Below are 26,335 nucleotides of genomic sequence, written 5' to 3'. Positions count from 1 at the left end.
CTCAAACTCCTGAGCTCAAGTGATCCTCCCACCTCAGCCTCTCTAGTAGCTGGGACTACAGGTGTGCACCACTGTGTCTGGCTAATTAAAAAAAATTTTTTTTACAGACCATGTCTCACTTTGTTACCCAGGCTTGTCTTGAACTCTCGGCCTCAAGTGATCCTCCTGCGTCAGCCTCCCAAGTAGTTGGGATTACAGGCATGAGCCACTGTGCCTGGCCAGTTTCTTGTATTAAAAACTGGGTGTTGGGTCCAGGTGGGGTGGCCCATGCCTGTAATCCCAGCACTTTCGGATGCCAAGGTGGGAGGATCACTTGAGCTCAGGAGCTTGAAACCAGCCTGGGCAACATGGCAAGATCTTTACTCTACAAAAAATAAAAAACTAGCAGGGTGTGGTAGGCACCTGTAGTCCCAGCCACTTGGGAGGCTGAGGTGGAAGGATTGCTTGAGCCTGGGAGGTCAAGGCTGCAGTGAGCCATGATTGTATCACTGTACTCCAACCTGGGTGACAGAGTGAGACCCCATCTCAAAAAAATACAAAAACAAAAACAAAAAACCTGGGTCAGACTTTCTCACTTTCACAAGTCATTCAGTCCTGCCTGTCAGCTCCAGCCACCCTGAAGTTGTGCAGCCCTTTCTTGCCCCTCCCTACTTTCCTATACCCATTTCTTCTGTTAGCTCTTAAATTCCTGATCATTTCCTATGTAGAGCCATTTAACCGGTTTCCTCATCCACTAACCAAAAGAGGATTGTGATGCTAACTAGAAAGCTTTCGCTAGCCCTGATTCACGTACACACATACAATACGTGTTGATGTCTTGACGGTGAGCACTCTGCTGTCTAACCTCCTTGGAACTCTTTTAAAGTACAGTAAATCCTTACTTAACATTATTAGTGAGTTCTTAGAAACTCCAGCTTTAAGAGAAATGATGTGTAAGGAAACCAGATTTTTTTCTCATCAACATTATAGCAAAACAACATTGAAAGAAGTTGAACAAAACCTTATTCGAGGTAGGTCATTTTGCTTAAAGTCACAGTTTTCAAGAACCTATCAATGATGTTAAGTGAAGATATACTGTACTTTGTATTTTTACAGCTTTTAGAAAACTGGTGAGAGCTTTGGACCATCTTTCCATCACACACACACACACACACACACACACACACACATAATTTTGGATATATTTTCAGGGTGTTTAGAACTTCCTGAAGCTCATCCATGGATCTCCCAGGTCCGTGGACCCTTAATAAAATCCCTGAAGTGTGGCCGAGCGCGGTGGCTCACGCCTGTAATCCCAGCACTTTGGGAGGCTGAGCTGGGGTAAGCGGATCACTTGAGGTCAGGAGTTCGAGACCAGCCTGGCCAACATGGTGAAACCCCATCTCTACTAAAAATACAAAAATTAGCTGGGCATGGTGATGGGCGCCTGTAATCCCAGCTGCTCAGGAGGCTGAGGCACAAGAATCGCTTGAGCCTGGGAGGCGGAGGTTGCAGTGAGCCGAGATCGTGCCAGTGCACTCCAGCCTGGCAGACAGCGAGACTCAGTCTCAAAAACAAAAAACAACAACAAAAAAAACCCTGAAGTCAGCTGATGAGTCAGCCTGCCCTTCTGAAGAGGACAGAGCACCCCCCACCCCCACCAGGCTCTGCATCTCTCCCTGTCCCCCACCACCTAGGGGTATCTTTATTGATGCTCAGTCATTAATTGTAAAAACAAAACTAGATTGGCATAGCTGGCTATGATATGTCAGGATTGGGGGATCAGAGACCTTGAGAAAATAGTGGCCACCTTTTCTCACCTATTTCCTTTGGGCCAGGCCCTTTGCAAGATTCTTAATCTAAGTCATCCCATTTCATCATGCCAGGACCCTATGAGGTCCATCCTGTTATCCTCATGGCAACAGATGAGGAAACTGAGGCTCACCAAGATTGAGTAACCTGGGTCACACTGCTAATAAGTGGCCGACCTGAGATTTCATCCCAGAGTTAGTGGCTTCAACATCTGGGCCCCAAGCCACACTGTGCTGGGCCCCTTCTCCCATAGTTGCACCTTACTCTTCTTGATCCATGTCCACAGAGCTGTGTGACCTTGGATGTGGCAGCCAAACGAATATGCCCTTCCAGTTTTTTGAAATACTACCTAGGGCAGAGTGTTTGGTCTGTTTGTCCCATTGATAATAAGTCTCTGGTGCCTAGCACATGGTAGGTGTCATAAATATTTGTTGAATGAATGAATTAATCTGTCCTGTAAGGCTCAGCTCAATTTCATGTTTTTAAGAAACTGTCCATCACTAACTCTGAATTAAAAAAAAAAAAAAAAAAGCCCGGGCTCAGTGACTCACACCTGTAATCCTAGCACTTTGGGAGGCCCAGATGGGCGAATCACTTGAGGTCAGGAGTTGGAGACCAGCCTGGCCAACATGGTGAAACCCTGTCTCTACTAAAAATACAGAAAATTAGGTGAGCGTGGTGGTCTGCGCCTGTAATCCCAGCTACTTGGGATGCTGAGGCAGGAGAATTGCTTGAACCCAGGAGGCAGAGGTTACAGTGAGCCAAGACAGTGCCACTGCACTCCAGCCTGGGCAGCAGAGTGAGACTCCATCTTAAAAAAAAAAAAAAAAAAACCTCCTTCCGTGAGCTCCCAACCCATGTTTGTGCCTCAGTGTATCCTTCATTCATGGTCCGTGCTATAGATTGCTGCTATGTGTCTGCTCTGTCACAAGCTTCTCAAGAGCACGAACTTATCTACTCTCAGATACTCTCAGGTAACTCAGGTGTATCTACAGGGAAGAATAGGCACTCATCTCTGTAGTCCTCCAGGACCTAACAGGCACTCAGGAAATGTTATCATCGCGAATACACAGTTGTTATTGTGCTGCAGGATAATTAGGCTTGAGTGGTAAATGATTCCCATAGATGACTGTTAATTAGGATTACATTTGTAGTGTCGGGCCACATTTTAGCTTTTTGATGTGAACTCTTTTCGTTTTCTAACATCTGTAACTTAACGTTGTTATATGTTCTGGTACCATTTACCTTTTGGTCACTGTCTCTCAACAGTCACAGAGCAGCAGCTGTGCCCTGGGTGTCGGATATGCTCCTTCATGGACATGAGCTCATTTTACCACTGTCTTCTTTGGTCCTGTACCCCGAGGCTGACTTTCCTGGTTACAGGCAAGGCCTGTATCCCACGGCTCACTGGCTCCTGGCCCCTGGTCTCACCCCTCACTGCATCCCCTGCCCCACCTGGTCCCTGAAGGAGATCCCCCAGTTTTCTGACAGCATGCTCTCATTTTGCTGCTTGCATTAAAGCCCAGAGAAAGGAAAAGGACAGAAACCTAGAAATTCAGCAGGAGAAAAGAGAAATGGAAGACAGGAAAACAAAAATTGAAATAATAGTATCTTGCGGAACCAGAGAGAACGAAGTCCATATTTGCTGAGGGCCTACAATGTCCCAGCCACTTGCCCTTCTTCATTTCCTTATCACTGTTCAACTGAGTAACCTTAGATGCCTGGAGGCTGAGCATCCACTGATTGGAATATAATTCGAACCCAAGACCATCTGGTCATAGATACCCAGGCTTTGCTCTGTGTTCTGCTCCACGACACATGTTTTAGGGAGAGGTCCTCTGCAGGTAGATGGCTGTATTATAAAACTCAGAGATAGAAGCTGCACACAAGATGAGTGTTCCAACTAAGATAGGATGACTCAATTCCACTGTGGAAGAAAAGAGAACAAATGGGAGAGAAGGGGGCCCAGGTCAAAAGCTGTGTCCCTTCTGGGTCAGCCATGACCCAGATCCCTTAAATGCCCATAGTAACTAACAACAATAACAGAAGCAGCAGCAAACTCGAATTTAGCCCAGTTAATCCTGACAACATTTGTTGTGAGACAAGTTATTTTTAGTACCCACATTTTATAACGAGGACATTGAGACACAGACAGGTTAACTAACTCACCCAAGGTCAAAAATGGTAAGAGGCAGCCCTGGGATTTGAACCTAGATTTTACTTTCAGTCTGAGGAACCACATAACTTAGGGTAAAGAAAGGAGCCATCTGTCTATAGCAGTGGTTCTCAAGGTGTGGCTCCCAGATCACAACTTCAGCATCATCTGAGAGCTTGTTAGAGATATAGATTCTTGGGTCCTACCCAGACCTACTGAATCAGAAACTCTGGGGAAGGGGCCCAGTGTTCTGTGTGTGTGTGTGTGTGTGTGTGTGAGTGTGTGTGTGTTTCTTTTTTCTTTCTTTTTTTTTTGAGATGGAGTCTCACTCTGTTGACCTCAAGTGGTCCGCCCACCTTGGCCTCCCAAAGTGCTGGGATTACAAGCATGAGCCACCATGCCCGGCCTGTTGTGTGTTTTAAGAAAGCCCTCCAGATCATATATTCGTATGTATCGTGGTCTACAGTACATCTCCACGTGCTGGCTTTGGCTGAAATCTGTTAAACTAGAGAAATCCTTAAAATCCACTAATAGAAAAGAGTAAAAGTTTATCAATAATAATAATAAAAGCCGGATGCTGTGGCAAATGCCTATAATCCCAGCACTTTGGGAGGCCAAGGTGGGTGGATCACCTGAGGTCAGGAGTTTGAGACCAGCCTGGCCAACATGGTGAAACCCCGTCTCTACTAAAAAGACAAAAAATTAGCGAGGCGTGGTGGCGCATGCCTGTAATCCCAGCTACTCGGGAGGCTGAGGCAGGAGAATCGTTTGAACCTGGGAGACGGAGGTTGCAGTGAGCTGACGCCACGCCACTGCACTCCAGCCTGGGCAACAGAGTGAGACTCCATCTCAAAAATAATAAACAAACAAAAAATAATAATAAACATTTGCGAAGTTTTGACTGTCTGCCAGGCATGATGCTAAGCATTTTACCAGCATTATCTTCTTTGGGCCTCGCACATGCTGTAAAGTATAGGTGGCATTATTATTTTACAGATGAAGAGACTGAGACTTAGAGACCTGAAGTGACTTAACTCAAAGTCACCAGCCAGAAAGTAGCAAAATCGTGACTTGAATCCAGACTCCTCTGATGACACGGTTCTACCCTGAACCATTACTCTTTTGCCCTTTTGGTTAAGAACTATTGAAGAATGGGCATAAGTCAAAGTGTATATGTTGATTTTTTTTTGTTAACTTTTTTTTTTAAGTGGCAGATGACTTGATTAAATACTTTGAGCTCTTCCCATGCTCCAAGATGAGCATTTATTCCCAGAACTGATTACGCCCGGCATCCCTTCCTGGGTTTAAGGGAAAGTGGTGGTGGTTATGAACCTTCCTGGCCACACGGGGGCAGCACCAAACATTGCAGGTTGCTCGTTTCTGCTCCCTTCTTTGGGAAGAAGCCAAGCTGGCCCCTCGGGCGGAGCTGCCTAGTCCCGCTTACACCTGTTTCCTCTCACTTAAGCCACATGGAATGGGGTGAAACTCTTCAGATGAGAAACTAAATTAAAACAAGAGCAGGGTTACCCAAGAAAAATGATTTTAAATAAACTCACTATAGTAATATGTCAGGCTTATATTCATCAGTATGACAAAACAATTTTTTTTTTTTTTGAGACGGAGTTTTGCTCTTGTCGCCTAGGCTAGAGTGCAGTGGCGCGATCTCGGCTCACTGCAGCCTCCGCCTCCCGGGTTCAAACGATTCTTTTGCCACGATTCTCTTGCCTCGGCCTCCCGAGTAGCTGGGATTACAGGCATGTGCCACCACACCTGGCTAATTTTTGTATTTTTAGTAGAAACGGGGTTTCACCATGTTGGCCAGGCTCGTCTCGAACTCCTGGCCTGAAGTGATCCGCCTGCCTTAGCCTCCAAAAGTGCTGGGATTACAGGCATGAGCCTGTTTGCCCACCCGGCAAAAACAGTATTATTAATGTGCTGGGGTGAGGTCGGGTGATTTGCATATTTTAGCTAAGAATGATACTCTGGGTGTTCAGTGAGCTGTTAGATCAAAATATTTGTCATCTTGGATTCCAAGGAGAGAAAACAGCCAGTATTCTTTTTTACCTTCTTTGTTGTTACTGAATTCTTTTGAGCAGTCCTAGGTTGTAGGATTTTATAGTAGACAGCTGGAGACAGTGGGAAAACGCATTTCTGACTTCTGGTTTGAAGAGTATTATCTCACAGTAACATTGCTGTCTTAGGGCTCACTCCAGCCAGGGTCACTAAGATGCTCTCCTGGTGGCAGCTTCTGTGGGTCTTGAACCCCATTTCCACAGTACCCTGTCCAAGCCCCAGTTTCCATGCCAGAAGCCGAATTCACCAGAATTTTGACTGAGGTGATCATATGATTTATTGTCTAACCCAGGACACTTTTTGAGAGTAAAAGGAGCTGCTCTGAATAATTTTGCCAGAATGACAGGGATACCCCAGAACTATTGAGGGGAAAATTGGGACATGTGGTCACCCTAATACAAATCTCTCATTTTTCCTTCTTGATTATTCAGTTAAGAGTTACATGACACTGTATTTATTTGCTCATTCATTCAACAAATGTTCAAGTGTTTTTTATTTTCTAAGTTCACTACTTATATTATTTTCTCCTCATGAAAACCCTCTGAAGTAATTATTATTATTGCTCCCATTTTTACAAACGAGCAAAATTGGGACTTAGTAAATGACTTGTCCAAGGTCCCACAGTACATCAGAGAGCTGAGATTAGAATGCAGGCTGTTCCTACTCTTGATCCACATACGCTCAGAACTGTATTGAGTTCTGGGTGCGGTGGCTTACGCCTGTAATCCCAGCACTTTGGAGGCCAAGGCAGGCCAATCACTTGAGGTCAGCAATTCAAGGCCAGCCTGGCCAACATGGTGAAACCCCATCTCTACCAAAATACAAACATTAGCCGGGCACGGTGGTGTACACCTGTAATCCCAGCTACTTGGGAGGCTGAGGCAGAAGGATCACTTGAACCCAGAAGGTGGAGGTTGCAGTGAGCTGAGATCATGCCATTGCACTCCAGCCGGGGTGACAGAGCAAGACCCTGTCTCAAAAAAAAAAAAAGAACTGTATTGAGGTCACCGGCTGTTTATCCAGCCTTGTTTATCATCCTAACACCATCTGACATTGTCCCCCAACAAAAATCTCAGAGGCATATAGCAAAGTGGTTAAGTGTAGGAGCCCAGAAGCCAAACTGCCCAGGTTTGAATCCTGGATCTACCACTCACCAGCTTTGTGCTGAACCCAGTTTCCTCATGTATAACATGGGTACAGTAACTTAGTATCAACCTCAAAGGGTTGGGGTGAGGACTCACTGAGATAATACTTTTGACATTTGAATAGAGGTGGTAGGAGACAAGGTTGGAATGGCAGGCCAGGGGAGTCAGCTGGGACACTGTGATTTTACTGACTAGGGCCTGGGTTGGGAACCGACATGGGAGAGAGGTTAGTGGGCTGCACAGCACTTTCTGGAGAGCAGGGCCTGGGCACTTAGGGATCAGACTGGCACAATTGTGCGTTTTCATAAAGCAGCACGTTTGGTGGAGTGCTTCTGTGGAATATCCAACACATCCACCTGGAGAAACACACTTTGGTCTGAGACTGAGGGAGCAGAGCTGCGGAGGGGCAGGCAGGCCAGGCAAGACCTGGCTAGCTCTGAATTGGCCACAGCCAGCTCTGGCACCCGGGACCTCCTCTTCACCATCGGGCTGGTTCCCTGCAGTGTGTATACATGTGCAGAACCTTTCCCCAAGATTCAGACTCCTGAGTAGCTTCTGTGATTGTCACGGGGACTGCCTTCTCTTTTTGGTTTCTTTGTGAAAGGCACCTTGTGCACCATCAGCAGAGTGGCTGCTGAGGTGGTCACACTTCTCCTCTGGGACGTGAGGATCAGCGCACTGTTTGCTTAAACGGGCTGTTTTGTCTTTGATATTTTGGTGAGTTTTTTTTTTCCCCTTTGACAAAGTGTGATCATCCGCTCAGGAACGAGGTGCCCAGTCTGTGCACGGTGACTGGAAGAGGGAAGGTGGCCCTTGACCGAATATGATCACTTCAGGACACTTTGCTGTATTCATTCATTTGGTTATGAAGCTCACATTTGGAAACTTTACAAGCTGTTCTTTGAGATCCAGTCTGTTGGCTCCCAAGGAAGGATGGCTCCATGTCTGCCTTTCCTATCTGGGGAAGGTGGCCTCTGCAACTGCTGGACAGCTTGCATGGGACCAGGGATGCAGAGAGAGATGAGGGACCCAGCTCAGGCATGCGGCAACCCTGGTGATCACCAGCAAGGCAAATGCTGTAGCCAAGTCACCCTTACCTGCACTGGGAAGTTTTTTCTCCATACGTCTTTGGATTTTTTACTTGTTATAATAAACAGCATATAGAACTTTTTTAATTAAAGGGAAAAATTGAATTACAGAACCTTAAAAAAGAAGTATGATCTCAAACAAAATATCTCTAAGTGATACAAGAATAAATGGTTTTAAAAGCACAAATCTGTCAATTCTGCAAGCACTTCAGCATTTAAAGATTCCCTCGTCACAAACGCTATAGGACCTGGCACTTATTTGTTATCATGAGTGGATACTTTTTTTCCTTGTTTTGCTGCCTTTCTGGGTATTAGAGAAAACACCTTGCTTCTCTGTTATTAGAAACAAGTGCCTAACATGCAGTTAATTCATTCTGTCTCCACTGTTTCTAGGTGCTTACCAAATAACAGATTTCACAGGGTTGCATTTCTCACTATTTAAAAAACTGCCTTATAAGAAGTATCAGGAGCTTAGAAATTTTTGTATCCATTAGCCGTATACTTATATTTCTGGTAATCTATTCTTTTTTTTTTTTTGAGACGGAGTCTCGTTCTGTGTCACCCAGGCTGGAGTGCAGTGGCGCGATCTCGGCTCACTGCAAGCTCTGCCTTCCGGGTTCACGCCATTCTTCTGCTTCAGCCTCCTGAGTAGCCGGGACTAGAGGCGCCCACCACCACGCCTGGCTAATTTTTTGCATTTTTAGTAGAGACGGTGCTTCACCGTGTTAGCCGGGATGGTCTCGATCTCCTGACCTCGTGATCTGCCTACCTCGGCCTCCCAAAGTGCTGGGATTACAGGCATGAGCCACCGCGCCCGGCCCTCATAATCTATTCTTTTTTTGTTGTTGTTGTTGAGATGGAGTCTCGCTGTGTCTCCCAGGCTGGAGTGCAATGGTGCCAACTTGGTTCACTGCAACCTCCGCCTCCTGGGTTCAAGCGATTGTCCTGGCTCAGCCTTCTGAGTAGCTGGAGTTGCAGGCACCCACCACCGTGCCTGGCTAATTTTTGTATTTTTAGTAGAGACGGGGTTTCGCCATGTTGGCCAGGCTGGTCTCAAGCCCCTGACCTCAGGTGATCCACCCACCTCAGCCTCCCAAAGTGCTGGGATTACAGGTGCTAGGATCACAGGTGTAAGCCACCGCACCTGGCCTTCTAGTAACCTATTCTAAGGAAGAAATCTGAACACATCAGGCAAAAAGATATTTGTCACTACATTTTTTTAAATAGCAAAAAATAGTTACAATTTAATTTCCAGCAATAGAGGATTTGTTAACTCAATTAGATGATTGAACATAATGAAGCAAATAAAGGTGCATTAAGTGTAGTACCTTTTAGTTGCGGGAGGGGAGTAGTGTAAACTGATATGATTGACCAAACCATGGAGTGACTTCTTGTCCTCTTTCACTGTCTTCCAGTGTTTTGCTGTGCGTTCTCTGGGATGGGTAGAGATGGCAGAAGAGGACCTCGCCCCCGGTAAAAGTAGTGTTGCGGTCAACAACTGCATCAGGCAACTTTCCTACTGCAAAAATGACATCCGAGACACAGTCGGGATTTGGGGAGAGGTAAGTGGCATGTAGAATGATGCACGGCAGGCTGTTTACGTTCTCCTGCATTTCAGGAAGCCCCACAGCTCAGTGACACATGGTACTGAGGGGCTCCGAGGTGTTCATCAGGTGCCTTTTCCCATTAATGCAGGAAGTGTAGGCATGGTACCCCCGTGTGACTGATCCCTTAGCACTGCCAGATGCCAGTGAGGACTGGGGCCTGGAGAGAGAGCGTTTCTCAGTAGCTAAGGACACAGATTCACGGGTGAGCTTTAGGGGCCCAGAACTCCCCTAAACATGCCTGCAAAATGGGATGTGCCAGTGTATAAGAGCAGTTTTGCAGACTGGAAGAAGGACCTGTATTCTCAAAGGGGAAGGTGACTTCCACACGTCCACACAAAAATGTTGATGCCTCTGCTTTAAAAGTTGACAAATTATTCTTTTATAACACTCTTCTTTACTTAGCGTCTGAAGAATCAACATTATACATGAATTGTGGAATTGATATTTATATACTTCTCCCTTTTAACAGAGTGATTCCATTTTGAAATGTTAGTTGAGATAATTTCAGAAAGGAAAAAATAAGTACAGATACCAAATGTGTATGAAACTCACATCAAACCGGAAAAGCTGTATTCCTGGTGTGCTCTGAGACCTGTGGAAAAAGCATTTTGGGAGCATCTTGGAATAGTGTTTGCTACATGAATAGATAGATGTTGTTCTCTCTGCTTCTAGTGAACAGAGCAGTGGTAGAAAAGTTTGCTTTTTGGTTGGGCTGATTGGGACTCCACTCACATTTTCTCCTAGCAGCACATCCCAATGGGAAGTAGGTTTCCAAGCCTTTCCATGGTGGAGTTTGTCTCCTTAAAGTGGAGCTGAATCACTGCATTGCCAAGCTGACTTTTAGATTCTAGGCATAAGGGAGAGCTGGAAGAATTTTCTTCCATCCAAGAAAAGCCATTTACCCTCTTCTGTTGTTTGACTTTACCGTCCTCTCTCACCGCATTATCTCCCATCCAAATACCCAAGCCTGGCTGAGCATAGTGGCTTATGCCTGTAATCCCAGCACTTTGGGAGGCCGAGGCAGGTGGATCACCTGAGCTCAGGAGTTTGAGACCAGCCTGGCCAACATGGTGAAACCCTGTCTCTACTAAAAATACAAAAATTAGCTGGGTATGATGGCACGCACCTGTAGTCCCAGCTACTCGAGAGGCTGAGGTAGGAGAATCACTTGAACCTGGGAGGCGGAGAGGTTGCAGTGAGCTATCGTGCCATTGCACTCCAGCCTGGGTGACAAAGTGAGACTCTATCTCAAAAAAAAAAAAAAAAAAGAACAAAACCCAGGCCTATGTTTCCCACCAAATTCTCCACCTGTCTTCTCTCTCCTTCAGTCAAAACTGCTGTTCTTTCTTGGCTAGGATTTAGAAGGTAGGTGGTTGTGACTTACACTAATATGTGAATGACTGACCTTTGGAGGAGCCATAGGTCTAAGGCAGCATGCTCAGCCTTCTGAGTAGCTGGTGAATCTGTTTCACCACAACAGTGCACAAGTTCTGTTTTCTGCCAGTGCTTTCATCTGTAAATGGCTTAGCTGCTCTTTGGGGAAGATTTGAGACCAGGCTGGATCTCAGCTGTAGACAGGCCACAGCTTCAACGCTGTCTGACAGAGGCACTGAGATACCTATTTCTGCCTCCCTGAGCATCAGAGCTGTATTTCACTCTGAGAATGTTTGGTAGGAAACTAAAACATCATTCCCCAAAACTATACCAGAAAGCAATTTGTCTGTTTTACTTTGAGATTTGAAGACCTACCGAGAAGCCTCACTGTTCTGCTGAGCCAGAACTTCCATCATCAGTGCTCCAGCATCTAGATGACCTTTAGGAGAGAGAGTCTTTCAGCTGTGCAACAGATGTTTAATGATGTCCTAAAATTATGCCGGGGAGATTGCAGGGGGAATCAAGTTGAATAGTCTAGTGCTTCTGCCCACAAAGAGCCAACACAGGTGGGGAGATGGGACACCAGAGTGTAAGACTCTGAAAGATAGTGCAGGAGTTGAGAAACCTGGGTGTTCCCCTGTGCTGGGATCCCAGCAGCACCCACAGGTTCTATGTCAGACCCTGAGCAAGTTACTTAACCTTTCAGCCTCAGTTTCCCCAGCTGCTAACTGGGATAGTAACAATCCAAGCCCTCAGAGGGCAATTTAGAGAGTTCATGAGCCAGTGCACCTTAAGCACGTAGCCTAATGTTGTCATTTAAATGTTTGCCATTGTTAGTGCTGAGAAATGTCACAAAGCTGTGCCTGCTGTCTGCCAGGCAGACCACACAGCTAGGAAGTGGTGTAAAAGCCGAGAGGAAGCAGATATCGTTGTGGGTTTGGAAAGGCCATCGAGGGGATGCTTGGTAGGATCTGGCCAGAAGAATGGGGAGAGACAGGTTCCAAGAGTTTGATGGGCATGGAATTAGTAAAAGACGTATTCTCCAGGGAAACCACAATTAGCCTTTTGTCGTAAAGATTCAGAAGTGTAAATAATTAAATTTAAGAGCAGCCTGGAAAGCAGGATGGGGACACATTTCAGAGGACTCGGAGAGGGAGAGAGAAATTGGGTGTATGAGGGGAAACTGAAAGATATCAATATTCTTGTCCAGAAAGGAAGTTTCTTAGGCAGACAAATTACAGACCCCAGGGTGGCTTCTTCTGATGGTTGACACGGCATTCCTAGATGGCCACACACACGATTAGGCTTTCCAGCCTGCATGAAGAAGACAGCGTGTTTTCTCGTTGTGTCCCAGGGGAAAGACATGTACCTGATCCTGGAGAATGACATGCTCAGCCTGGTGGACCCCATGGACCGCAGCGTGCTGCACTCGCAGCCCATCGTCAGCATCCGCGTGTGGGGCGTGGGCCGCGACAATGGCCGGTGAGTCCCTGGGTGGGGCAGTCTGGGTCACCTCACCCGTGTCCCTGGTCTAGCTGAACACCAAAGCATGGGCTCGCAGCATTTCACGGAATACGAAACTCATGTAGCTTCTATATAGAAATGTGAAAAATGAAAGCTTGTCTCTAGTTCCCTGCCTCTTAAAGACTTCAAACTGCTTCCCTTCCTGGTTTCTGTATCTCAAATCTTTTGTCAACTCTGATCCTGATCCTGCCTTCTAGTTCTGCATGTGTCTTCTCCTGACCCTCCTCATGCAACCAAGTTTCCAACCCAGGCCATCTGAACCCCTTTTTCCCCTCCTCTCTGCAGTCTTTTTAAAATGAATTCCATTTCATTCAGTGAAGTCTCAGCCATTTCAGAGGCCCTCCTGCTGCTGTTCTCTTCATCAAGGGCTTACTTGAGGGGGACGTTGTACAGCCTTTCATCACAAGCCTCAGGTCATTAAATCATGATTATCAGGAATTTCTGGGTTTTGGGATTGGCTAAACTTTTTTAACACTTGAAAGGTCTGGTCATATCAAAATTCCATTTGATGTGTATTTTTCTGAAATTCTACTGAAAATGTGTTATTTATAAGAAATGCATCTTAGATGTGTTATGAATTTTATGTTCTCCAGGATGATTGGAAACGAGTTCCGATTTTCAAGTGTGTATTTTAACTAATAAAATAGCAGTTATCACAGACTTTATGTTCAGAGACCATTGTTAAGTAATTGGTCTACATTAAATGCAGTTAATTCTTAAATTATAGTCAGTCTTTGGCAATTCCTAAGGTACTAGAGCATCTCCTAGCATTTAGGGACGAGCTATAGGATGATAGCTTGTTATTGCTTTGTTGAAAATGGACAAGAGCATTGCAAAAGAGGATAAAAATCCCCGACAACAGAGAGGCGGCTCTCCTGAGCTTATGGTTCCATTTCTGAACATTCTGCTTTTTTATTGAGTCATGTGGTCCTCTCTAATGGGGTTGTTGTCTACCTTGGCTTATCACAGCCTTTGTCAACCAACGCTGGGCATTAGCGCATTTGATTCAGTTCCAAGACCTAAACCAGAAAGGAAGGATTATGGCCAAGTATTCATCAGTGAAAGAGTAAGCATTTATGCTAGAACCAGACATGAGAAATGGTCTGCAAAGGAGAGAGCTGAAGTGTCTTTCTTCTCACTGCCAATTGGATAAGCCTTCCTGGGAGCACAGTTGCATCTTTGAGCTTTCGTACCAGAGTGATGAATGATGACAGCTGGGCCAGATGCTTTGGGGGAATGGGTGGATGGATTATGTGCGCACACCTGTCATTCCCTTGCTTGCCAGAGCTGTAGCCCTGGAAAGATGCATGAATTGGTTAATTTTACGAGGAAGCTCTCTGGTGATATTTGGTCGTCATTAAAAACATTTAACTTTGGTGGAAGGTCCTGGGTGTAAGATGCTTGAGCTTTTCCTGGTTTCTGTCCTCCAAGTTTGTTTTTAAGGCAGGAGCCAAAGTGCAGAGCTTGTGACATTACATACGTGTGCGACGCAGGAGCGAAAGTGTGGAGCTTGTGACACTACATACGTGTGCGAGGCAGGGGCCAAAGTGTGGAGCTTGTGACACTACATATGTGTGCGAGGCAGGAGCCAAAGTGTGGAGCTTGTGACATTACATACATGTGCGAGGCAGGAGCCAAAGTGTGGAGCTTGTTACATTACATACGTGTGCGAGGCAGGAGCCAAAGTGTGGAGCTTGTTACATTACATACGTGTGCGAGGCAGGAGCCAAAGTGTGGAGCTTGTGACACTACATACGTGTGCGAGACAGGGGCCAAAGTGTGGAGCTTGTGACATTACATACTTGTGCGAGGCAGGAGCCAAAGTGTGGAGCTTGTTACATTACATACGTGTGCGAGGCAGGAGCCAAAGTGTGGAGCTTGTTACATTCCATGCGTGTACGAGTGGATGAGCTTGGGTTTTCCTAAGGTCAGATTGTCAGTGGATTGTATTGATGAGGTTTTCAGCTTACCCTAACTCTTTAAAGTGAGGCCACATGCTACATGTCTGGAAGGAAACAAATGATTCAAACTCCAGTTGACAAAATTATTCAAGTTCTCTGAGCCTCAGTTCTCTCATCTGTGAAGTGAGGATCATAATAAGGACCACAACACATACGTATATGTGCATGTGCATGTGTATACAGTAATCGGTTCAGTGATAGGGACATGACAGATGCTTAATGAATGTTAGCCCTTGATTTTTAAACACACGCTAGCAGATGCAGCTAATGACATGGCTTCCTTTTAAAGACAGTGGAGGTCGGAGAGGAGTCAGACCGCAGGGAGACTTGAAGTACGCTTGATCACGTGATCTAGAGGATGAGCGGCTGTTCCAGACCCTAATGAGTTCAGTTGTCCTACAAAGCAGGAAGAGCTTCCTACTCCCTGATGAAATCAGTGTGAATTAGGTTACATTGCCTTGGTTATGTTTTTGAAACGTGGGCTGTATTACTCATGTTTTTAAATCACTTCTTATTCTCACTCAGTGTCAGCAGATGAGTGTAATTTCGAAATACGCTCAGGGTTCCACATAGCTAGCAGGACCTCAGCGAGATCATGGGAGGGTTCCACATAGCTAGCAGGACCTCAGCAAGATCATGGGGTTGTGGCTGCCTTCAGCTGGATTGGCATGGAAACGGTAAATTTTAAAAGTGTGTTTGCCAGTGAAAGGTTCTGTTTCTCCCCATTGGTCCCCTGAGTTTCCATTCCCCAGAAGAAGGGGTCTTTGTACTCCTGCTTTTTTTACTTTCCTTTGCTTTTGATTCCTTTTTTTTTCCTTAACAGCAATTTACAAGAGCAAATTCAATTTGTAATGTTGCAAAGGAAAGGGCTTTTCACTTTGCATGAATAAAACATTTTTGCTTGCGAAAAAGAAGCCCATTTCACATTCTCTTTTGTAACTTTCCTTGCTGAGAAAGTGGAATCTCTTCAGGGATTTCTTGATGTGGTTAAAATGAATAAGAGAAGTGTGTATTATACCAGACATGAAGGGCGCAAAATCTTTCTGCAAATCCAGAGTGCTTCCCTGAGCCACGTAATTTCAGAAATTATCAAAGTATTTTGGATGTGACATTTTCTTAAGGCTTTCAAGTGGTTTTGATTTACTTGGAAGAAATTCCTTCGGGAATGAGTTTACTTTGCATGAGGAGGTGATTGGCTATGACACCCCCACTGAGCCCCCCAGGGTTGAGTTGGAGAGACCTCTTACTATGAACAGCACAAGGAGTTGAGTCACATCTGATACCAGTCTTCTGTGGGGTTTTGGTTGTCGCACAACTATGCTGAAGGCTTTGTCTTGTTGAGAGCCATGTCTGTCTTTATTACGGTGTTTCTTGGGGCCCATTTGCTTTATTGCCTGGCAAAGTGAGGGCTGCCTCCTCTTTCTTGGCCATAGTTGAGTTTTGTTCCCTTTGATCAGTGAGGTAAATGTCACGGCCCCTGGAGATGGAGGCTGGGGCAAGGGGTTTCATGAGCTTTGTCTTTCCAATCTAGTTCAGCCCCAGGAGCACCCAGGTTGGCCTGCTTTGCTCCTGCCTGCTGTGCAAAGGAGGACGTACGCAGGTGTGTGCACTGGGCCTTAGAACTGGCATTTCTGCCCTTGGCGACTGAGGCCAATGACCGAATGCTCCCTTTCATCTTGTCTCTGTGGGCCTGCCAGGCTACTGTCTCAAAGGTGAGTTTGGAGGGATGTCCCTACCCAGTTTCAGGGACCTGTGCTAACTTCCGGCCTCAGCGTTCTTCTTATTCACTCAGACCCTGGCGAGCACCTTCCTCCTTATTCTTTTACAGAAGTACCAAAGCCAAGCAAACATAATTTCTTTTGTTTTTTTTTTCTCTTTTTGAGATGGAGTTTCACTGTTGTTCCCCAGGCTGGAGTGCAATGGTGCAATCTCAATTCACTGCAACCTTTGCCCCCCGGTTTCAAGCGGTTCTTCTGCCTCAGCCTCCCAAGTAGCTGGGACTACAGGCGCCCGCCACCACGCCCGGCCAATTTTTTGTATTTTTAGTAGAGACAGGGTTTCACCATGTTGGCCAGGCTGGTCTTGAACTCCTGACCTCAGGTGCTCTACATGCCTCGGCCTCCCAAAGTGCCGGGATTACAGGCGTGGGCCACTGCGCCCAGCCAAAACATAATTTCTGAACACAGGGAACTTGGAACAGGGACTCCCCTCTTGCCTCGTGGTTGATGGAGGCTTATCTTCTGGGTAGGGGCACAGAGATCCTTGTGTACTTCGCCAATGAGCCCTATAGTCTGCTCATCTCAGCCATTTCCCACAAGAAAGGAAAATGGATATTGTCAGAGGGTTTCAGACCCCGTAAATGGGATGTTTCCAAGAGGCTTCCCTATCAGTGATTAATCCACGGTTTTCCCTTGAGAAAAAAAAAAAGATTCTATAGTCACTTGGGAAACTGAGTTAAACCAAGTACACTGGGCCCTCTCAGAGGTTTTCCTACGCTGAGATGCACTAGGACTCTGCAAGAAAGCGTTTCCCAGGCTTGGCTGGACCGTTTCCTCGGTGGAAACACAATCACATGGAACACACTTCAGGAAATATTGCTGTCATTAGTAAACTCATTCATTTAAATTCGTGGCAACACTAAACTGCTATTTTTGATTATTAAGAAAAATTGGAATTACTTTTAATGAATATTATAAGTGGAGACCCCATTGGGCCTGCTCTAATGAAGATAAAATTTCTTCATAATGAATGGCAACTATGAGAAACACACTCACCCATCCAAACCCCAAGAATGGACTTAGAGGCACGAAGAACAGTGAAAGTGAGACTTTTTAATAACAGTCTTGCGAGATCGGGTATCTGGTGGGCAGGCACACCTGGGACAGTCACAACAGGTAATTTATCTCCTAGCACGCCAGTCCCTCCCCCAATTCCTCACTGGCCGAGTACTATGGGGCTACAATCTTCCTGGACATTACCTAAGTTTCATTATCCCCCTTATAAGGTTATACCTCATTCCCTTCCCCGCTTAATTTTCATTTCCCAATAAGAAAACTTTCTTCCCTTTAATGGGCTGACCCCTCCTCTACATTCTGTTAGCTTATTGTGACTTTCTAGGTGCATGAGCCATGTGGTTTGTTACATTTGCAGCCTGGCTGCCAGGACTTAGATTTATCATGCCTTGAAAATGGACCATTTAAAATGTTTTCTCACACAACCATCAACAGTCATGATGTGTGCAGTGCTTTTTAAACAGTGCTCTCTTATTCAGGTTCAGTGTTTACCCTGTGATGTTGCTTATGCTTACAGATTGTGTAGCCAAACTTCTCTTCCTTGAAGGTGTTTAATACCTTTCTTTTCTGGTTTTGATGAACAACTTTTAATAAAATCTTTCTGTGTCATAGATTATTCATAAATTTCCAAATGAGGTTATCTTTGACTTGATTGTTCTATCTGATTATGATCTCAGGAACTTTTGTCTAAAGAATATAGTGTCCACTGTACCGAATTTTTTTTCATATTCTCTTCTAAGGTATTCCCAGCTGTATTTATCCACCAAGACCCTGGCCCAAGTTGTTTTATTTCTTTTTATTTTTAGAGACAGGGTCTTGCTCTGTTGCCCAGGCTGGAGTACAGTGGCGTGATCATCACTCACTGCAGCCTCCAAATTCCTGGGCTCAAGCGATCCTCCTGCCTCAGCATCCTGAGTTAGCTGGGACTACAGGTGTTTTTTTTATTTTTATTTTTGTAGATACGGGGTCTCACTTTGTTGCCCATGCTGGTCTTGAACTCCAGGCTTCAAGCAGTCCTCCCACTTCGGCCTCCCAAAGTGCTGGGATAGCAGGTGCGAGCCCCTGTGCCTGGTTAGGATGTTTTAAAAAAGGCCTTTGTCACATGTACTTTATGTTCTTGTTTTCATGCCAGTGCTGTTCTGCTGCTTTGTTTTGACTTCTTTTGAAAACACTGCTTAATTTTGTGGAGGAGTTCAGGGATCCTGAGGAATATTGGGATTAATTATTTAGAATATGCAAAACTTTGACTCATAGGTTTTTAGATTTAAAAGGTGCTTTAGTATTAGTGTCTTTCAGTCTCTTTATTTTAGAGGTTAGGAAACTGAAGACAGAAGAGTGTGATTACCTTAGGTGACCCATGTAGTTTGTGGCAGAGCAAAAAACACACCCCAGGTATTTTTGCCAGCCCAAATGGGAAGCTACTCTGTTCATCTTGACAAGAGATGGTGAATGGTCTAAATGTCCCGGGGTTGGCAGGGGAGGAGAGGCTGGGTCAGATACGTCCTAAATACTATGTTAGGCAGCAGCAGGACACAGAAGGCTATGGCATGGTCCCTGTCCTTACAGTCTGGCTTCTTCATTGAAGAGATAAGACCACATGAGTGAATGGAAAGCAAAGGTGGACACACCATGTTCCTGAGCCTCGTTTTTGTGGGTCCATGAGCTGAGAATAGTTTCCACATTTTCAAAGCATTAAGAAAAAGAACGGGGGACCCAGATATGGGAACTCAGCACAGCCCAGCTCTTCATAGAAGGAACATTTGAGTAATAACATACTCAGAATGGAACGAGGCGATCTTTGTAGCTGCTGTATATAGAAAGTCGTTGTGGAAAGGGCCCATTTTTTTTTTTTTTTTTTGGCAGTCTCTATCTCCCTTCCTAGCCATGTCTTCTACTAGCAGCATTCGGGGGTCCCTGAAAGCACGGCTTAGCCTTGCTACTGTTCCGTAGAGTTAAGCTTGAGTAAGTTTTTCTTTTTTTTCAGATTGAGTTTCACTCTTGTTGCCCAGGCTGGAGTGCAGTAGCATGATCTCGGCTCACTGCAACCTCCACCTCCTGGGTTCAAGCAATTCTCCTGCCTCAGCCTCCCAAGTAGCTGGGATTACAGGCATGCGCCACCATGCCCAGCTAATTTTTGTATTTTTAGTAGAGGCGGGGTTTCGCCGTGTTGGTCAGGCTGGTCTTGAACTGCTGACATCAGGTGATCTGCCCTCCTCGGCCTCCCAAAGTGCTGGGATTACTGGTGTGAGCCACCGTCTCGCTCTGTTACCCAGGCTAGAGTGCAGTGATGTGATCATAGCTCACTGCAGCCTTGAACACCTTGGGCTCAAGTGATCTTCTCACCTCAGCCTTCTGTGTATTATAAAAGGGTATAGGGCAGGCTGCTGCCACAAGTACTCTGCAGTCCACTGGCTTCAGTGCCAGAGGTTAGTTCTCATGCCACAGCTGCAGTGGGCACTGCCACCTGGAAGAACAGCTCTGTGCCACTCAGGGGTTCAGGCTCCTTCCAGATTGTTGCTCTGCCATCCCTCAGTTGCCGTCCTGGCCTCACCAGACCAAGTGACTTGTCTCCAAGTTAAACACACCTGGAACTTGCGTACCTCAGGTACACTCACATTCCGTTCACACCCCACTGGCCACACTCAGCTGCAAAGGACTCGGAACTAGAGTCTCTAGTTGCACAGACATTTGCCAAGTTAAAACTCAATCACCAAAGAAGTTTAACAGCTAACGTTCCGACGCAGTGTGAAAACCAGTCACCTCAAGTTTCTCACCCCCACGGCCTGTTGCTTCCCGTACTAGTGTCATTAAGCAGCTGTCCCCTCAGCTCCAAACCCACACTTCCCCGCTCAGCTTTGTGATGCTGGGGCTGGGACTCCGCAGACTACGCTCCTGCTTCTCTCGTCTGCTACCTGTTAGACTCTGGTGACTGTGCAGCACTCGAAGGAGAACTGCCAGGTGGAGGAGGAAGGAGGAACTTGCTCCCTCCTTTGCTTCCTGTTTCTCTGAGCACCATCCTAGAAACACAGCTTTATCCCAGTTGCATCAGTTCTGAATCCAGTTTGCAGTTTTTCCAACTTCACAGAAATGCAGAACTGGCTTCATCACACGGCTTCTTCAGAGATTCCAGCACAGCTAGCAGGCAAGCCCTCTTTTTAAGTCTAGGTCCTGGCCCTGGGGTCCCTCCTTCAAGCCTAGGGACACCATCAGCAGCCAACAATGTCTCTTCCTCTGCAGTCCGAGGTTTTGCTCCAGGAGGCTCCTCCGTGAAGCTTCTATGTTTTAATTATTGCAACCTCTCTCCTCTGTTCCCTCAACCCTGCAGGTCAGAGCCCCCCTCTTAACAGTTGCAGCCTCCATGGGAGCTTTCTCAGGATCCCCTTTTGCCATTGTAGTTATTAGTTAAAATCCTATGTGCTATTCTCCGTTCAAATGACTGGTGTGGTTTCTGTCTCCTGCCTGGTCCTGCCTGTCCCCTCCCTGGTTGACCTTTAAGATTGAATTAGCGCTGACTGAAGGAGACAGCCACTCACACAGCGCAGTCTGTCCACCATATGGAGGGCAGTCAGGAAAGCTTTTCTGAGCAAGCCAGTGTGGCTCTTCTTTGTGTTTACACCACACTGCAGGTGACACTGCAGCCGTTGTGCCAAGGAGACTTCCTTTCTAAATTATTAGAAATTGTCTGTGATAAAGGGCAGTGTTTTAGGTGACAGTGATTTAGAAATAATGGGTCTCGGCCGGGCGCAGTGGCTCATACCTGTAATCCCAGCACTTTGGGAGGCCGAGGCAGGCGGATCACTTGAGGCCAGGAGTTTGAGACCAGACTGGCCAACATGGTGAAACCCCATCTCTACTAAAAATACAAAAATTAGCCAGGTGTGATAGTGCACACCTGGAATCTCAGCTACTTGGGAGGCTGAGGCAGGAGAATCGCCTGAACCTGGGAGGCAGAGGTTGCAGTGAGCCAAGATTGCACTGCTGCATTCCAGCCTCGGTGACAGAGCGAGAGTCTGTATCAAAAAAAAAAAAAAAAAGAAAAAGAAAAGAAAAGATAAAAGGAAAGAAAGCGAAAAGGAATAATGGGTCTCTTTTGTTTTTGAGCTAATCTGAAAGTTATCTCTGTTTCTTCTTGGTCATTGTTTTTTTTCCCTAGGAGTGATTAGGTGGGGTCTCAGTCTGGAAGAAGTAGAGTTTCCTGATGACATCTAGTAGGGGATTCTCTGAGCCAGTCAGTAATGAAAGACTGATGGAATTCCAAGATCTGCTGATGAAAGTTTAATCTATGGTATGTGCTGTCTTGCCTCAGGGAGAAAAGTCTTCAGGAAGGAACAATAATTCTCTCCCTACACTATAGTATTGTCTTGACCTCTGGAGTTAATTTCTCTTTAATGCAGCTCCATGATAAGCAGAGGCATCACGATTTACTTGACCGTTTTGCTGACTTACACTGTGGTTCTATTTTATCTCTTTAAAAGTGGCTTCTCTGCCTTCCATTAATCATGATGGGATGCTTGCAATACTTTCAGCACAGAATAACCTTTAAGGAAAGACATCGTAAGTGATTGTCCAAGAACAGTTTCCCTTAGAGGAAAGTGGGAGGGCATTTTCAGACAGATCGTTCATGGCGGTCCTGTCCCTGTTCATGAATCTATGAAGGCGACAGTTTCTCCTGAGAAATACCTCGTCCATTTTGGTAACTCTGGCTCAAAGCATGGTTCAGGATTTCTTGTGAGCATGTTTCAGTAGCAGCCAGTGACGTGTGGGGGCTTGAGGCTGTTGTGTCAAGAGAGAGCAGAAAAGTCTGATGATGATCTTCGAACAGCTTCCATCTCGCACTTCCCCTGAGTCCTGAGCCAGACAAAGGATGGGCCTTTCTGGATGCAGAGCGAGGGAGATCTATCATGTTTGATTCTCTGTGTCCATCCTCAAAGTGCCGTGATCTTCTTTGAATACTTGGAGCATCCCAGGAAAAGAAGAGTCATTTGAGTAAAGAAATAGCCTAACAACCCATGTAAACATGGATGAATGTCTTTGAGAACAGAGGAAGTCATAACCATGATAACCCAGAACTTATGCAGATGTTCAGTGCATGGTTTGGTGCTTGAAGAATTGCTAAAAGCCTCTTGTTGCAAAGGAAGGTGCAGTCACCACTTTTCATACACGAGTTGTCACCTGGAACCTTTTTACTCAAATGTCATCATCCTGAGATTTTTGGTTTCCTGGGGAGTCCAGTGACTATGAATTTAGTGCAGCACAGTTCGTCACTGGGAAAGAAGAATTTGAGAACATCAGGTGGAACTCAAGGAGTCTCATTGTGTCGAGTTTTTGAGAGCTAGAGTAGGTCAAGAGAAGGAACACTGGAGTAGGAATCTCACCATTTGCAATGTAATTGTGCCTCTTCCTTTGCACTGATGTTAGGGGCGCTCTGTGTGCCACTGTCTCCATCCGCACTGGAGATCATCACTGACGTAGCTGAAATATGGAGGTCCTTTCATGCAAGGGTCATAAGTGCCATCGCTCCCAGTGACACTCTTTTTATTAACATAGTAATATTTCCTTGAAATATTGTCCTGGGTCTGCTGGGTGCAGTGGCTCATGCCTGTAATCCCAGCACTTTGAGAGGCTGAGGCGGGCAGATCACCTGAGGTTAGGAGTTCGAGACCAGCCTGTCCAACATGGCAAAACCCTGTCTCTACTAAAAATACAAAAATCAGCTGGGTGTGTTAGCACATGCCTGTAATCCCACCTACTCGGGAGGCTTAGGCAGGAGAATCACTTGAACCCAGGAGGCAGAGGTTGCAGTGAGCCGAGATTGTGCCATTGCACTCCAGCCTGGGCTACAGAGTGAGACTCCATCTCAAAAAAAAAAAAAGAAAGAAAAAAAATATTGTCCTGGGTCAACCGTAACATATTATTAAAAATAAGGAGAAATTTAACATGAGAGCTTAGTATTATTCTGTCTTTTTAATATCTAGAAATTATCTCTAGTTCATAGTGAGTCTCAACTAACGAGTTGGTGACTCTTCATAGAGTTCCCTAGAGCTATTTGATGCTGCCCTTCAAAGGCTAAAATTGTTGTTCAGAGCCCCCCAAAATGGCTTTGTATTTTTCTAACCCTCTTATGAAGTCAGAATTGGTGTTTAAGTATCAGAGCTGTGAACTCAAGCTTTGGAATGGCTTGTGTTCAGAGGAGTTATATTTTAACAGAGAAAAATGAGAATGTAGGAGAATTATCGTGTCATGAATTTTCAGCTAGCCTTGAGCCTTTGGGTGGACTGAAAAAGTCTTGTTCACTTGGGAGCCAAGAGTTCCTGCTTCTGTGAGTCCATGTGAGGCTGCACCAGTTTCCTTCCAGGTCCCACGTTCTAGTCTCCTCCTGCACACTGCTCTCTCTTAAGATAAGAAGACAGTAGAGTTATGTTCCCTGCAGTCCCTCGGAGCAGCACCCACACTTTGGGCTCAGGCACTGGGTCTCATGTTTCTTTGTTATAACTTCAACTGGGAATTCTGTTCTTCTAGGCTATTCCCCAAAAAGTGGCCTAGGGATGTGCTTGTTTGAAAAGGGAAGACAGGAAAGGAAATCAAAGACAAGAATTAGGAAATTGAACCCAGAGTCCTCAAGCAAGAACCCAATTTCCAAGAGTAAAAAGCTCTTGGGAACAGAATCATGCAGGCGCGGTCATGGCAGCCAGAGGACGGAAATGCCAGATCAGACGTGGGGCCAAAGAAAAAGAAGGGAGCCAGAGAGTTGACTTAAAATGGAAAGAATAAACCTCTCCAAACCCTGGAAGAATCATCAAGGCTATAAATAAAGGAACACAGAGTGGGTGACAGACGGGCTCTGACACCATTCACTCATCTAGAAGAGTGTGATGGGGGAGGGGAGACTAAGAAAAATAAAACCCAGAAAATGTTCTCATTCAGTCAGAAATTTTATACCAGAAATACTCCAAAGAGGAAGAAACATTTGAAAGTCCTGAGGCGGGAGAGGATGAGTTAGGGGGCACAGTTACAGTCTCTGAGGGAGATCCGGACAGGGGGCATGGCAGGGACACAGTGGATGAAGATGGATGCTGACATGGCAAACAGGCAGGTAACGTGATGGGGAGGACAAAGCCAAGCAGACACAGGTGCCTTTCTCTCTGCGGGCAGTGCATTAGATAAGCTTCTGATTGCTTCTCTTTTATTTTGTTTTTTTTGTTTTGTTTTGGTTTGGTTTGGTATTTTTGGAATGGAGTCTCACTCTGTCGTCCAGGGTGGAGTGCAGTGGCAAGATGTCAACTCACCTCAGCCTCCCGGGTTCAAGTGATTCTCATGCCTCAGCCTCCTGAGTAGCTGGAATTACAGACATGTGCCACCACACCCGTCTAATTTTTGTATTTTTAGTAGAGATGGGGTTTTGCCATGTTGGCCAAGCTGGTGTTGAACTCCTGGCCTCAAGTGATCCGCCTTCCTCAGCCTCCCAAAGTGCTGGGATTACAGGCGTGAGCCACCGAGTCCGGCCTGATTGCTTCTCTAATGCTCAGCCACCCACCCTGTCTTGCCAAGTCTGCCCCTTTAGGAAAATGCTCCAGCTGCATTTTCAAGGGCTGCTTTTTCTCTGCACCAAGCACCCTGCCCACTGGAGAGCCATCTTCAGGCAGGGCTCACGAGCCCCATGCCCTGTACCCTGAGCTGCTCTGCCCGGGGTGTGGCAGGTCATGATAGAGTTAAGAGTCACTTTGCCACTGGACAATAGTTCATGACACGTGGCTCCTACCTCCCTGATCCCTAAATCCTTCTTGCCTCCTCCCTAAAGGAGAGCTCCTGAGTGAATTTGTTGGAAGCAACACTAGAAAACTGCAAGTCTCAATCTTCAACTCACAGAATCAAATGTTCCTGTGAGGTCCTAAAACCAGGTCTGTCCCAGCAGGTGAACTAAACAGGGCACAGCAGGATGAGTTTGCAGGAATTTTATATATAGCACCGATTAAGGCATTAATGCCATTTTTCAAAGAGTTGACCCTTCTTTGATTACCAAATCTGTGAAATAGAGATTTAGTTCAGATTGAAAGTATCTGATCCCCTCTGACCCTGGCCCTCAGCACCCCACCCCTACATGACCTGCCTTTATACAGACCTGGAATGAGGATGGGAACAAGGATGAGAGGGCACACGTCATCCCCTAAGTCCATAAACAGCATCTGAGCTCCAAAGAATTGAGTTGTCTTTTGAGAGAAGTCTCTTTCCTAACCACGTGCCACGAGGGTGTAAATAGTGGGTATGGCCCAACCTTGGCTAACCTAGGCTAGGCCACCTTTGCTCTCAGATGGGTAACAGCTTTCTGCTGGGATGCCAAGGCAAATCTGTTATACTCCACGTTGGCCAAGACAGACTCCTGACCCCATTTTCAAAGCTGTTCTTTCTATTTATTCTCCCGTGTTCTGCATTCATACATTCACTCATTTCGGCATGTGTTCATCCACTGGACTTATGCTGAGCCACTGTGGTTAATGGCTCTGCCATGTAGTACACAGGTCAGCAGTGTGGGAGCCCCCGACCCTGCTCCTGTGGGTCCTCCCCACCCATAGTGGTGGTCAGCCCTAAAGAGTCTACCTCCTTAATACCTAGGTCAGAGTTAAAAACAGGCTGTCATATTGACAGTGGGTAATGATTCAAATATCCATCAGCAGGTAAATAGATAAACAGACCATGGTATATTGTATAACAGATATCCACACAGCAGTGAAAAGGAACCAGCTGTTGATACAGTCGGCCCTCTATATCTGCAGATTTTTTACATCGACACATTCAACCAACTGCAGATGGGAAATATTTGGAAAAAA

General features: G+C 45.9%; 1 protein-coding gene across 51 annotated transcripts in view, besides 2 other annotated features; it reads left to right on the top strand.

The window, feature by feature from the left end:
• The window catches only part of APBB2 (amyloid beta precursor protein binding family B member 2), a 404,516-nt gene that overhangs the window by 311,464 nt on the left and 66,717 nt on the right, over nucleotides 1-26,335 (top strand). For all 51 annotated transcript variants that reach the window (XM_047450191.1, XM_047450181.1, XM_047450169.1 and 48 more), the window contains 2 exons: nucleotides 9,668-9,814; nucleotides 12,588-12,715. In XM_047450191.1, the coding sequence (XP_047306147.1) occupies nucleotides 9,668-9,814; nucleotides 12,588-12,715 (275 nt within the window). The remainder of the gene's footprint in view (nucleotides 1-9,667; nucleotides 9,815-12,587; nucleotides 12,716-26,335) is intronic.
• Nucleotides 5,193-5,487: an enhancer, noted in NCBI's record as "tiled region #11490; HepG2 Activating DNase matched - State 12:CtcfO, and K562 Activating DNase unmatched - State 4:PromP". NCBI's record gives its function as "activates a minimal TATA promoter and a strong SV40 promoter by Sharpr-MPRA in HepG2 cells, with weaker activity in K562 cells {active_cell/tissue: HepG2 | K562}" and the evidence as "EXISTENCE:reporter gene assay evidence [ECO:0000049][PMID:27701403]".
• Nucleotides 5,193-5,693: an enhancer, noted in NCBI's record as "H3K4me1 hESC enhancer chr4:40899403-40899903 (GRCh37/hg19 assembly coordinates)". NCBI's record gives its function as "activates a minimal SCP1, AML or CMV promoter by ChIP-STARR-seq in primed H9 embryonic stem cells {active_cell/tissue: H9 hESC(primed)}" and the evidence as "EXISTENCE:reporter gene assay evidence [ECO:0000049][PMID:30033119]".

Source organism: Homo sapiens, chromosome 4, assembly GCF_000001405.40.
Source record: "Homo sapiens chromosome 4, GRCh38.p14 Primary Assembly".
Taxonomy (NCBI): domain Eukaryota; kingdom Metazoa; phylum Chordata; class Mammalia; order Primates; family Hominidae; genus Homo; species Homo sapiens.
This window is presented reverse-complemented; position numbering and strand designations above follow the sequence as displayed.